This window comes from Homo sapiens, chromosome 5, assembly GCF_000001405.40.
Source record: "Homo sapiens chromosome 5, GRCh38.p14 Primary Assembly".
In the NCBI taxonomy this organism is placed as follows: Eukaryota; Metazoa; Chordata; class Mammalia; order Primates; family Hominidae; genus Homo; species Homo sapiens.
Genome location: NC_000005.10, coordinates 107,676,958 through 107,692,549, shown reverse-complemented (window position 1 = coordinate 107,692,549; position 15,592 = coordinate 107,676,958).

Sequence of the window (15,592 nt, the reverse complement as noted above, 5' to 3'; positions counted from 1 at the left end):
TACCCCATTCAGTTTGATACTAGCTGTGGGTCTGTTAAATATACCTTCTATTTTGTTCAGTTGCATTTCTTCTATACCCAATTTTTTAAGAGTATTTATCATGAAGGATGCTGAATTTTACCAAATGCTTTTTTAGCATCAATTGAAATTATCATATGGTTTTTGTCCTCCGTTCTATTAATATGATGTATCACATTGATTGATTTACATATGTTGAACCATCTTTGAATTCCTGGGATAAATCTCACTTGGTCATGATGAATGAACTTTTTAATGTGTTGTTGAATTTGGTTTGCTAGTATATTGTTGAGGATTTTTGCCTCAATGGTCATCAGGGATATTGACCTATAGTTTTCTATTTTTGATGAATCTTTGTCTGGTATTTGTATCAGGGTAATACTAACCTCATAGAATGAGTTTAGAAGTATTCCCTACTCCTTTATTTTTTGGAATAAGTTGAGTAGGATTTGTATTAGCTTTTCCTTAAATGTTTGGTAGAATTCAGCAGTGAAGCCATCAGGTCCTGGCTTTTCTTTGCTGGAAAAAGGTTTATCACAGCTTTGATCTTGTTACCTGTTATTTGTCTGTTCAGGTTTTGGATTTCTTCATGGTTCATTCATGGTAGGTTGTGTTTGTCTAGGAATTTATCCATTTCTAGGTTTTCTATTTTATTAGCATATAATTGTTCATAGAAGCATCTAATGAGCCTTTGAATTTCTGTGATAACAGTTATAACATTTCCTTTTTCATCTTTGATTCTACTTATTTGGGTCTTCTCTCTTTTTTCTGTATTTCTACTCTGATCTTTATTATTACTTTTCTTCTACTAATTTTGGGTTTGGTTTGCTCTTGCTTCTCTAATTCTTTAAGGTGCATTGTTAAGTTGTTTATTCATAGTTTTTCTACTTTGTTGATGTAGGCACTTATTGCTATAAACTTTCCTGTTAACACTGCTTTCACTGAATCTCATAGGTTTTAGTATGTTTTCATTTTCATTTGTTTCAAGAAATTTTTTATTTATTTATTTTTATTTTTATTTTTTTGAGATGGAGTCTCACTCTGTCACCCAGGCTGGAGTGCAGTGGTGCGATCTCAGCTCACTGCAAACTCTGCCTCCCAGATTCACACCATTCTCCTGCCTCAGCCTCCTGTGTAGCTGGGACTACAGGTGCCCACCACCACGCCCATCTAATTTTTTTTTATTTTTGTTTAGTAGAGACGAGGTTTTACCATGTTAGCCAGGATGGTCTCGATCTCCTGACTTTGTGATCCTCCTGCCTTGGCCTCCCAAAGTGCTGGGATTACAGGTGTGAGCCACGCACCCAGCCTTGAATGTCTTTCTTATTTTTTAAATGGCCCACTAGTTATTCAGGAGCATATTGTTTAATTTCCATGTGTTTGTATCATTTCCAAAATATCACTTGTGACTGATTTCTAGTTTTATTCCACTGTGATCAGATAAGATACTCGATATAACTTTAATTTTTTAAATGTTTTAACACTTGTTATATGCTTTAACATATGGTATCTCCTTGAGAATAATCGATGTACTGTAAAGAAGAATGTGTTTTCTGTTGCCATTGGATGAAATATTCTGTAAATATCTATTAGGTCCATTTGATATGTAGTACAGATTAAATTCAATGTTTCTTTGATGATTTTCTGTCTGGGCAATCTGTCCAGTGCTAAAAGTAGGGTGTTACAGTCTCCAGCTATTATTGTATTGAGGTCTATCTCTCTGTTTAACTTTAATAATATTTGCTTTATATCTGGGTGCTCCAGTGTTGAATGCATATATATTTATAATTGTTATATCCTCTTGCTGAATTGACTCCTTTATCATTATGTAATGCCCTCCTTTGTCTCTTAAGGTTTTTGTTTTTAAATATATTTTGTCTGATACAAGTATAGCTACTCCTGCTCTCTTTTGGTTTCCATTGGCATGGAATATCTTTTTCCATCCTTTTATTTTCAGTCTATGTGTATCTTTATAGATGAAGTGTGTTTCTTGTAGGCAACAGATCACTGGGTGTGGGTTTCTTATCCATTCAACCACTCTATGTATTTTGATTGGAGAGTTTAGTCTATTTACCATCAATGTTATTATTGATAAGTAAGGACTTACTGTTGTCATTTTGTTATTTGTTTTCTGGTTGTTTTGTGGTCTCTTCTTTCTTCTTTCCTTCCTTCCTGTCTTCCTTTTAGTGAAGGTAATTTTTTCCTGGTAATATGTTTGATTTTCTTGCTTTTTATTTTTTATTTATTTGTTTTATTTCTTTTTTTTTATTTCAAGTTAACATGAGACTTGCCAAGACTATCTTATAACCCACTATTTTAAACTGAGGACAGCTTAACACTGATTGTATAAACAGACTGATAAACAAGCAAAGAGAAAGCTAGTAAAAACTATATGCTTTAACTTTATCTCGCTGCTTTTTAAGTTTTTGTTTTTTCTATTTATATCTTATTATACAATGTCTTGAAAAGTTGTAGTAGGTATTATTTTTGATAGGTTCATCTTTCAGTCTTTCTACTCAAGATATGAAGTATACACACCACAATTACAGAGTTAAAATAGTCTGTATTTTTCTGCATACTTACATTAACAGTGAATTTTGTACCTTCAGATGATTTCTTATTGATCATTAATGTACTTTTATTTCAGATTGAAGAACTCTATTTTTTCTTGCAGGACAGGTCTGGCGTTGATGAAATCCCTCAACTTTCATTTGTCTGAAAAAGTCTTTATTTCTCCTTCTTTCATGTTTGAAGGATATTTTTGCTGGAAATACTTTCTGGAATATATATTTTTTTCCCTTATCACATTGCCACTCTCTCTCGGCCTGTAAGGTTTCCCCTGAGAAGTCTGTTGCCAGATGTTTTGGAGCTCCTTTGTATGTTATTTTTGTTGTTGTTGTTGTTTGTTTTCTTGCTGCTTTTAGGATCCTTTCTTTATCCTTGACCTTTGGGAATTTGATTAATAAATAAATGCTTTGAGGTAGTCTTACTTGGGTTAAATCTGCTTGGTGTTCTATAAGCTTCTTGTATTTAAATATTTATATCTTTCTCTAGGTTTGGGAAATTCTCTGTTGTTATCCCTTTGAATAAACTTTCTACTCCGATCTCTCTTTCTCTTCCTCCTCGTTAAGTTCAATAACTCAGATTTGCCTTTTGAGGCTATTTTCTAGATCCTGTAGGTGTGCTTCATTCTTTTTTCTTTCGTCATCTTTGCCTCTGACCGTGTATTTTCAAATAGCCTGTCTTTGAGCTCACAAATTATTTCTTTTGCTTTGCTGTTAAGAGGCTCTGATACATTCTGCAGTATGTCAACTGCATTTTTCAGCTCCAGCATTTCTGCTTGATTCTTTTAAATTATTTCAACCTCTTTATTAAGTTTATCTGATAGGATTCTGAATTCCTTCTCTGTGGTACCTAGAATTTCACTGAGCTTCCTCAAAACAATTATTTTGAATTCTCTCTAAAAGGTCAGCTCTCTGTCTCTCTGGGTTTGGTCTCTGGTGCCTTATTTATTTTCTTTGGTGAGGTCATGTTTTCCTAGATGTTCATCAGTAAACATGCTTGTGGATGTTCGTTGGTGTCAGGGTGTTGAAGAATTAGGTATTTATCATAGTCTTTGCACCTTGTGGTTGTTTGTACTCATTCTTCTTTGGAAGGCTTTCCAAGTATTTGAAAGAACTTGGGTGCTGTGATCTAAGTCTTTGGTCACTGTAGCCATATCTGCATTAGTGGCCACCCCAAGCCCAGTAATGCTGTGACTCTTGCAGACTCATAGAGGTACTGCCTTGGTGGTCTTAGGGAAGATCCAGAATTCCCTGGATTATCAAGCAGATTCTTGTTCTCTTCCCCTACTTTCCCCCAAACAAACAGTCTTTCTCTGTACCGAGCTGCTTGAAGCTGGGGGAGAGGTGTCCCCAGCACTCTTATATTCACCACCACTGGGACCGTGCCTGGTCAGAGCTGTAACCAGCATAGAACTGGGTGTCAACCAAGACCCTTAGTGTCAACTGCCTTGCTACTGCCTATGTTCACTCAAGGCCCAAGGGCTCTTTAATTAGCAGGTGGCAAATCCAGCCAGGCTTGTGTTCTTCCCTTCAGGACAGCGAGTGGGTGCAGAGATGTCATCCAGGAGCAAGGGTCTGGAATCAGGGACCCCAGGAATCTGCTTGGTGTTCTACCCTATTGTATTCCACAAACTTGTGACTAAGCGGGTACCCAAGCTGCAAGACAAAGTCCCCTCTACTCTTCCCTCTTATTTCCTCAAAGAGAAGGAGTCTCTCTTCATAGCCACCACAGCTGGGAATTTGCTGGGTCACACCTGAAACCACATGGTTCTAAGAATCACCCAAGGCCTGCAGTGCATACTGCCAGGCTACCACTGCTGATTATTCAGAGCTGAAGGAGTCTTCAGTCAGCAGGTGATGAATCCTGCCTAGACAGGGTATTTCCTTTCAAGGCAGTGGATTCCCTTCTGCCCAGGGTGTGTCTAGAATTGTCACACAGGAGCTAGGACCTGGAATGAGGGCCTCAGGGCCCTGCCTCGTACCGTATTCAACTGTAGCTGATCTGGTATCCAAGTTTCAAGACCAAGTCCTCAGTAATCTCCCCTCTTGTTGCCTCAAGCAGAAGGAGGAAGTCTCTCCCAGAGCTGCAAGCTGCACTGCCTGGGGTTGGGGGAAGAATGACACAAGCACTCCCTTGCCATCCCAGCTGGTGTCTCACTACATTGTGTGACCCCCAAGTCCACTGGCTCTGAGCCCAACACAGCACCAGGACTTGCTCAGGAATTGTGGTCTTTGTGGCCTCAATTGCCTTTCAAGTTTGTTTAGAACCCCAGAGCACTTTAGCCTGTAGTGGCGGGGCTAGCCAGAACTCAGGTTCTGACTGCTGGGATGGGCAGTTTGCCTCTGGTTGGGGCTGGCCCAAATTCTCTGCCCATGTTCCTTTCTGCTGTGACCAGGGCAGCACTGAGTTCTAATACAGTCACTGCACTCTCCCTCTTGCAAGATTCCCTGTGCCACATGGCCACTGCTGGGTGATGGTGGAGGAGTGGTGTAAGTGATTCAAGACTATCTTTCTTACCCTCTTCAGTGCCTCTTTCCTTAATATGATGTTAAAACCAGGTACTGTGATTGCTCACCTGAGTTTTAATTCTTATGAAGGTTCTTTTTTGTGTGGATAGTTGTTCAATTTGGTGTCCCTAGGGGTGGAGGTGTGGGTGATCAACTAGTGGAGGTATTTATTTGGCCAACTTGATCCACCTCCTCTCTCCATCTTCTAGTTAATAAAGATTTTTTCTTTTCTTTTTATTTTCCTTACTTTCTTTCTTGTTATAAGAAACCATCACTGCCTAATAGAAACATGATGCAAGCCACAAATTGGGCAAGAAGCATTTAATTTTTCTAGTAATCACATCAAAAAAGCAAAAAGGAGATAAAATTCATTTTAATAATATATTTTATTTAATCCAATACAGTTAGCCCACTGTGTCCAGAGATTCAGCATCCTTGGATTCAACCAGCCATGGATCAAAAATATGTTTTTAAAACTAAAACTATTTTTATTTTAAAAATAAAAGTAACAAAACAACAATTAAAAATAACAGAAATAAAAAACAATTCAGTATATCAACTATTTACATAGTATTTACATTGTATTCGATATTATTAGTAATCTAGAAATGATTTAATGCATATGGAAGGATGTGCTTAGGTTATATGCAAACACTACACTATTTTATACAAGGGACTTGAATATCTGTAGATTTTGGTATTTGCTGGGTTCCTGGAGCCAATCCCCTATGGATACTGGGAGTCAACTGTATATACAAAATATTACCATTTCAACATGTGATCAATTCAAAAAATATTTTAATGAGAGATCTTGCAGTCCTTTCTTCATACTGGGTTTTCAAAGTCTTGTGTGTATTTTACATTTTCAGCACACCTCAATTTAAAATAGCCATATTTGAAATGCTCAGTAGTCACATGTGGCTAATAGCTTTTGTATGGAACAACATAGTTTTAGACCATCAAACTTAAAGATCAAAATTGCTAACCAGTCATTCCAAGCCATTTTCTGAATAATCCATCTTTTCCTTACTTATATCCAAAATGACTCATTTATTTATGTAATGATATCTTGTATGTATGCATGGTGCTCAATATACATTGGTAGAATGAGTGAATGATAGAATGGCATTGAGATTTATTTTAGAAGGATATTAAAGAACTTGAGTGAGGAGGAGGACTTAACACTAATAATACACACAGTATTGAATATGTGTTGCATCCCTAACATTAGACAAAATACCTGAAAATTATTGTATCATATACTGCTCATTGCATATTTTACAAGATTGATATGATTAGCCTCACTTTTAGAAAGAATTTGAGGCTTAGCAATGTTTAGTAAGTTGCTGAAGGTTAGGATCACCATTAGTTGCAGAGCCAGATTTGAAACTACATTTGTGTGGTTCCAAACTGAACTCTTTTTACTACACCACACTGCCTTATATGATAAGACCACGAGGCTGAAGAAATAGCAGAGTGTGAATTCATTCTATCAAGTTAGAAAAGAGATCATTGCTTCCTGCAGTCACTGAAATTTTTCACTTTAATGTTATTTATAGAGAGTAGCAAAATTCTTTGTTTCCACAAGTTTTTTAATTTGTTTCTAAAACATTCATTGAAAGGGTATTTAGAAAATTATATTTCATTAGAGGGAGAGGAAGAGAATATGTAACCAATATTTTACAGTGCAAAATGGAAACAATAAGTGATTAAATAGTTTCACAAAGATATTAGTAGTAGAATCATGAAGTTACTATTATTACATTCCTCTTCTCAACCTCTTCTAATCACTAAAAAATGTCCTCATTAGATTGAGGTTACAAAGTAGGATGCTAAATTAGGTAAGTCTCTTCTTTACCTATTCTGTAAGGTAGGCTGCCTGTTGAAAGTCAGAAAATAATGCATTCCTGTGCATATGTAATTGTACAGATAATTGCCTCTATCATTTAAAAATATCATTTGCCAAATGGTGTGTATGATTAATTATGTACATTTATCATTGAGTAGACTCAGGTATATTATAAAATTCTCTCCCTATGCTCATGCATCTTTCCTCCCTTCTTGCTTTTTTTCAATGTAAGTCATTTAGTAATTCACAATTTCTTTTTATTATTTCTTAAGCCATAATTCACCTGCATAGGAACCAGCTGCTAAGTTACCTTGTGGCTGCAGAAAAGTTGCTTTTTTAAATTAGGACATCAAGGGACAAGGATGATGTTTGAAATCTCCCCTCTTGATTTATGGATGCTCCTAAAGCTAAAATCCTGGGGAGAGGTCCATTTACTGATATCCAGGTATCTCCAGTGACATTTCTTCAGCTCCAAACTGTACATTGTTGAGCTTCAAAGTCAAGTGCTACCAGGCTGGGAGCGGCGGCTCACATCTGTAATCCCAGAATTTTGGCAGGCCAAGGCAAGCGCATCACCTGAGGTCAGGAGTTCGAAATCAGCCTAGCCAATGTGGTGAAACTCCATCTCTACCAAAAATACAAAAATTAGCCGGATGTGGTGGTGGGTGCCTGTAATCCCAGCTACTAGGGAGGCTGAGGCAGGATATTTGCTTGAACCTGGGAGGCACAGGTTGCAGTGAGCCAGGATCAAGCCACTGCACTCCAGCCTGGCCTACAGAGCAAGATTCTGTCTCAAAACAAAAAACATAAAACAAAACAAAGTCCAGTGATACCAAGGAAAGAAAAGAATTAATGAATTAAAAGTATATAGTAATCTTGAAATCCTGACATGTAGAACTTATCTATAATTAATGTAATTAATGGTAGTAACAACTATTAGAGAACAGCCTATATCTTTAACATAAGGCCTCCTGAGGGGCTGTATGCTTCTGCCTTGCCCTGGAATCTCAGAAGAGCATCTGGAATGATCCTATTAGACCTAAGTCTGATCCTCAGCTCTGAACTCTTCACTCTTTCCCCTCATTCTGGACTTTATTTATTTTTTTGAGATGGAGTTTCACTCTTGTTGCCCAGGCTGGAGTGCAATGGCATGATCTCAGCTCACTGCAACCTCTGCTTCCCAGGTTCAAGCAATTCTCCTGCCTCAGCCTCCCAAGTAGATGGGATTACAGGCATGCACCACCATGCCCAGCTAATTTTTTTTGTATTTTCAGTAGCGACGGGGTTTCACCACGTTGGCCAGGCTGGTTTTGAACTCCTGACCTCAGGTGATCCATCTGATCCGGCCTCCCAAAGTGCTGGGGTTACAGGCATAAGTTACCACGCCCGGCCTGTTCTGGACTTTAAAAGTCTGTTTTGACAAAGGCTTATGATGCCTAGAAGATCTGGTCCCTGCTCCCCCTAAGATATTATCCTTCTGCTTGTTTCTTCACTGGCTCTTCCCAGCCACTGTGGCCTCTTGCTGTTCCCCAAATACTCTGTGCACTCTTCCCTTTCAGAGCCCCTGTGCTTGCAGTTCCCTTTGCCTGGACCAGCTGTCTCTCGTATTGGTGTGGCTGCTCCCTTACCCCTCTGAGGTGTTTATTCAAATGTAATTTTCTCACAAGGGCTTTCCCTGTCTTCTTGCTCTAAGATTGCAACCCTCTCCTCCATTAGAAACTGCCTATTCCCTTTCCCTGCATGCTCGTTTCCTTTGTATGTATCACTCTTTAATGCATCATAGATTTTACTGATTAATATTGCTTATTAATTTCTCTGTCTACTAGAAAGTAAGCTTCATGGGGCAGAGATTTTAATCTGGTTCACTGATGAATTCCTAGCTCCTGGAACAGTGCCTGGCATATAGTAGGTGCCCAATAAGTGTTTTTTGGTTGCATGAATGATGACATCTTCTATTTTTATTTGTCAACTCTGGAAACCCTACTCTCCAGCGTAGTAAAATTTCTCAAACCTATATCCACATAACTCAAAATTCCAAAAGAGGGCAGGCCCTTGCAATCCCAGCTCCTTTTACAAATCTCAACAAGTACCCTGAGAGGCCTAATTTAGTAACATACTCTCCCCTGTAGTGGTGATAGGGCTGTGGTGGTGTTGCAGGGTGCTAGGCCATGGCAATGGATAACTTCACTAGGATCAGAAAGATAGGAGAAAAAGTTCTCCAACTGAAGGATGTTAAGCAGGCAGGCAGCGTTAGTTCACAATAGGATCCAACACTTTTATAATAAATTGCTTTTTTAATTGTCTGTGCTACCTGTTAGACTGTAATATAAGCTCTGTGAAGTTAGGGAACAGCTTGGTATTGCTTGCCATTATATCCTAAAAGCATGGCACACGTTAGAACATACTTGTTCTCAATAAATTTATTAATGAATAAATGATTTTATATATTTATGATTGAATACATGAATGAATGAATAAATGAGTGAATAGCAAACTACATTGAAGGCAAATTATTAACAGGTTGTTTGGTGGCGTCAGTATAAGGGGGATGTTATGTGACAGAAATGTTTAATGGTATTTTGTTGAGACAGCTAGGTGGAGCCGTCTATAATTTGGATTTAGCTGTCAACCTGCCCAAACAACACTTTCCTCGAGTACTCAGGAATGAAAACTGAATTTGCCTCAGGTAATTTTGTTTTCTTCACTCCATTTCTGACTGGCTCCGTTTGAGGTTATCACATTCGTTTTTTAGAAACAGAAAGACCTTCAGTTAGATCTGGATCTAGGTTGCAAGTATTTCTTTAAGGTGGGTTTTGTATCTCTCTGCTGGGGTCTATTGTGTGGAGCTTCTCTGCTTAAACCTTCTGAGGGAAATCCTTTTCCAAATCTTTGAGAGTCACTTGACTGTCCCTCCCTCTTATCTCCACTGCCTTTTGTATAACCCTGAGATCTCGTTCCTAATAGCAACCACAAGAGAACACACAGTGTAAGGTACTAGCACTCTCATTCATTTATTCATTCATTCAGTGTATATTTATAGAGTGCCTACTACATGCTGTGCACAATGCTAAGCTTTGGAGAGATAATGGAAAGCAATTGAACTAGAAGAGGAAACAGATGAAATAGCCAAACAAGTACGGAATTTCAATCAGGGCACAGGTGGTATAAAGAAAATGACCTCAGTGCCATATGGTTATTTAGAGTAGTCTTGGTCTATTCTCTGGGGTCAGAAGAGATTTGACTGAGGAAGTGACATCTGAGCTGAGGTTTGAAGGATGAATACAAGTTAACCAGGTAGGACCCTAAATGTTTTGGACAGAGGCGATAGCATAAGCAAAGACCTGGAGACAAAGAGATGCATGGCTTCTTTGAAGACATGACAGAAGGCCAGAGTGGCTGCAGTTATTGATGTGGCAACAATTCTATGAAAAGAGGTGAGAGGAAGGCAGGGATCAGCTTGGCCAGGGCTTGGTATCTATGTTAAGGGTTTTGTCTTTATTTTGAAAGATATGGAAAGGCATTTAAATGGTGGAAGATGACATCAGGATTTCCCTTTGGAATAAATCAATCTGATTGCAGAATGGGATAGACATTGGACAGATGTAAGATTACATGGCTGAGACCAGTTAGGAGGCAACTTGATATAGAAATGAAAATTTGAAAAATGAATTTTTACATTCCTTGACAGAATACTGAGTCTTCTGCTTTATCAGGCCTGTCAGCTAGAAGTTCTCATTTGGGAACTGGTGGGGGATTTTATTCTGATCTTGGCATGCTGGAGAGCAGGAATGCCCAGAGCAAGGCAGCTCTGTCTGTTGAAAGAATAGATGCATTTTTTGGACTTGCTGTCTTTGAGGTATTGGAGTACAGTTATGCTGAAAAGTCAACCAGAAGCCTGGGGAGGTGGTTCTGATAGTGGCAGACAATAAGTCCGAGAGCTGAAGTTGGGAGACAGCCATAAAGAAACTATAATTGGAGCTGTAACTGTGGTTGGAATTGTTAAAGAAGATCATGTTGGTAAAGAAGGAGTCTAAAGAAAAACACCTATATTTAAGGAGTGGGTACTATGCATTTATTCATTTCACAAAGAATTATTAAGTTGTTTACTATGTGCCTGGACCTGGGCTGTGAGTGAGAGATGAAGTGGTGGAAAAAAAAAAGTTGGAGATTAAAAACAAACAAACGAACAAACAAAACAACTCTGCAAGTGTGAAATAACAAACTCCAAAGGATAAGAAGGAAGCGTAGCCAATGGTTCCGTTGCTGCAGAGGAAGAAAATGCAGTGAGAGCTGGAATGATGACTTTGAGTTTGTGGATTAGACTCCACCCTAGATGGCACACATTAGAAACTTGGATGAATAAACTTGGGCTAGTAAACAGACCTGGGGGACTGCATATAAGCGACCCTGACAAAACCTTCCTCTCATTTTAGAACCTTACAGGAAGAGGCGATTTGACATATAATATTTCCCTTTATAATCTCACTTCCTTGAAATACATCTATTCCATCTACAGAAAGAGAGCTGTACTTTCCTGGGCCTGCCATGGCTGTCAGCCAAGAGCAGAGATGTTGTAATTTGAAGTTGACATCAAGATGACCCTTACAGGGTCACTATAGTTTCTGTCTTGTGGCAGATCCTCCTGCTGAAATATGGAGGTGCCATGACGTTAAATCAATAGTAGTGAGTGATGCGGAGATTTGAGTTGAAGCTAAACATAGCTTCCTTTGATTTTACCATTTCATTTTTCTTGCTGGACACCACTTTAGAAGAAGAATCACCTCTGGATAAATCGTCTGCTCAGGTTTGCTCTTCTAACCAAATGACATTATCCAAAGAGGATCAGAAAAGCCTGAATGTTAATTGTATTCATTTAGGGTTCCAAGTAAGGCTTGTGTTGAAGACAAAGTCTCCCTATGAAATTTATAACGCAGCAGAAACAAACATTGTTGTTAGAGATATTTGGAAAGTTGTGATTACCAATTACAAATTTAACACAAAGTAATTCAGTAATGAAAAGGTTGTGAAAAATAACAACATTTGAGCTAAATAATATTCAAATTTTTATTTCCAATAATGTAAGAAAAAGATGTATCTGTTATTTGTTGCTGTATAACAAACACCTCAAAATGTGGGGACTTACAAGAACCATTGGCAGTTTAGGCTGGGCTTTGGTGCACAGTTCTTCTAGTCTCAACTGGGCTTCTTCATACATCTATAGGCATCTGCAGGCAGCTGCCAGTCATCAAGGTAGCCCTGTTTCTGGGGATTGGATTGGACACTGGGAGTGACTAGGCTACATGCCTCTCATTAACCAGAATGCTAGCTTAGGCTTGTCTGCATGGCAACTGGACAGCCTTCTTACAGGAATGCTTGAAGACTGCATGAGGTAGGGCTCAAAATTGGTACAGCATTGCTTTTGCCACATTCTGTTAGCCAAAGCAAGTCACAACATCAGTTCAGGTGTAAAGGGTAAAAAACAAAACAAAACAAAACAAAACTCTTATCTATTGATGGGGAGGAGGACTAATTGCAAAATTACACTGTAAGGAGGTGATCTGGGCCATTTTGCTATCTACCACAGATGATGCATCATTTTTATACCATTTGATTTATATATAGGTGGATAAAATGTACAATATTTGAACACTATCTTTGGAAGGGAAATATTTTTATTCTTTTCCTTGATGGCAGTTTCAAACTAGGACCGTCCTTAAAGCAACCAGTGAGGATAGTATTGTGTTAACGGAATCATTTTCTACTTCATTTTTGTTTCTGTAACTGTAAGGAAAATCCTCATGTTTTCAGTGGCTGTTACTCTAGGTCTGTGTGACATAACCAATCATAGACAAAGCAGAACTTCTTAATGGCAAGAAACACTATCTAGCTGCTGGCCTGGTAATCTTGTATAAAAATTTCAGAATTGCCATTGGGAAAAGAACATTTACTTGACAAATGGTGCTATTTCCATTTTTGTCTGCCCAATTTTAAACTCTCTCTTATTAAAATGGCAAATTCAGTCCCCAGAATATATTGAACAAGTGAAATGTGTAACTGGAAGGTACACACTTCACCACTTCACTTTGTAACATGTAGACTTATGGATGCAAGGACATTTCATGGAAAGGGAGTTTTAAATTATTTTGCATGCATATAGAGAAAATAAAACTTTTTGATGTCTTGGCTCAAACTGAATGGGATCTCAATAGCCCAGGTAGTACTTTAAGATGATTTATTATTATGCTAATATTGTAATGTAATATTTATTAAGCATTGGAAGTGTGCAGAATACTAGATAGTCCACATAAAAGATCCTGATGGATTTCAAGGAAAAGGGCTAAAAATGCACTCTCCTAATCCACAGGAAAAGAGGGTAATTCAGAATCTAGCTGAACCAATAAATCCTATTTAATTTAGCATACATCACATGCCAAAAAAAGAGAGACTAATGGAAATGGAGAGTGATAATCTCTGATTAAAAGGTAGTCATCTTAAGAGCACACGCTCCTCCCCAGACTTGAGTTTAGAAAGAGTCAATTCAGTAAAATATTTCTCATTAAAAAAAAAGTTTTGGCCAATAATCCTCTGCATTATTACCTGGCGTTCTAAGATCATAAGTTAAAATGGTTTCTATAGAGACCAGCTTTATAACTATTATCCCAAACTACAAGATGAAATGCTTTTAAAAAAATTATACCTTAAACTGTAACTTAACAGCATCACAATAAAATTTACAATGTTGGCATAAGGCATTTAGAAGTCTCAGACTAGAGTTATAAATCTGCAGTAGGAGAACAATTTTTCCCAGACTCGAAAAATACTGACACCAAAATCCCCCTAAAGAAGTCTTTTACCTAAAAAAAAAAATACACATAATATGAGGAAAGAATATCTTAGTTTGCGATAATTCTACACTTACTTTGCTTAGCCAGTTTAGATCTGGAGGGGGAAAAAAAGTAAAGCCAAAGCTAAAACAGGGGCTTAGAAACAGCATTTTCTATTTTATTTAATCATGCTTACTAAGGGTTATATCCTCTATTGATCTTTAAGTAGAATTCTCACAGAAGTTGATGAAAATATGTGGCAAAAATTGATGGAAAAATAAGTTCTTTCTCTTTCTCTCTCTGTCTATATGCTTGTTACAGATGTTCTGTGTGTGTGTGTGTGTGTGTATCAACATATATTTTTTTTAAAAATCAGGTTTTTGGAAGGCTCTAAGCAAGTAAAAGAATACAAAAATGCATACTTACATGCTTTTCTTCGACCTGTTGGGAGAAACATATCCTAATTATTAGTTTGAATGCAGAAAAAAGTACAAATTAAGCTTTTTTTCTGAAAATCCTATTTATATTCCTTTTTTAAAAGCAAGTATGCTGTAGATATCTATGATTACCATTGTAATAAAACGTAAATACCAACTTTTATTTTCTTTGATAATATACATTCATGGTAATATGTATTCATTTAAGCAAGGTATATAGTGTGTTATTTAAGAATTTGCAAAGAACAATTCAGGAGAGTATATATATATTTTTTAAATTTATTTTTATTTTTTAGAGACAGGGTCTTGCTGTGTCATCCAGGCTGGAGAGTGGTGTGATCATAACTCACTGCAGCCTTGAACGCCTGGGCTCAAGAGATCCTCCCGCCTCCGCAGAGTAGCAGGGACTACAAGTACGTGCTACCGCAACTGGCTAATTTTAATAATATTTCCTGAGACAGGGTCTTGCTATGTTGCCCCAGCTGGTCTTAAACTTCTGGCTTCAAGTGATCCTCCTGCCTCGGCTTCCCAAATTCTCTGGGATTATAGGCTTGAGCTACCACACCAGCCAGAACAATATACTTTATGCTGATTGATCTATTAGATTCGTAAAGTACAGATAAACTTTACTTGGTAATTTTAATTAAAAAATCTGATGAGGGAAATACAGAGGTGTAGAATGTATATGCACATTTTGTTAGCAAAAGACAACCTGAAAATGGCTTATGGGAATAAAATTACTTACAAATGTAAGTTTTTTGGTTGAAAACTGGTCACATAACTGTATGTATGGTATATGTACTGAAATCTAGATAATGAAAAGTGATGTGGAAATTGGTTACATTAACCAGTCCTTGCTTGCTTTTTAAAAAAATTTCATAGGAGCACATACGCATTTGTGATACATAGAAACATAACACATATTTACAAATGTGCCTAATTATATGGTTTATGTTGTTTACCAAAATGACTGCTGAAAGTTCTGTGTGTTTAAGAAGTTTACTATGTTGGTTTTACTTAAAATATGCTTTGAAATGGGCAAAACAACAAATAGACTAAGTTCATAGATAAAAAAATTTTAAAATGCCTCTTTCAGAATATTGCAGCAACTTGCAGGACTGCTTCTGTTTCTCTGTAGATTTAAGGAAATAAATTCTAGCAAACCCCAGAAAAGGAAGGGGAGAATGAGGAAAAGGGAGAAAATCCATGATGGAAGTTGAAGGTCACAGGAATGAAAGGAGAGATGTAATACTTTATAGTCTTTTTTTTTTTTTTTTTAAGATTGTACACAGAAGAGATAACTAGATCAGGGATAGAAAAGGAGCTTTTCTTAAAGTCTCTGAGGAGAGAAAAGTCAGCAAAGAGTTATTTCTGAAGATTCTTAGGAACTTG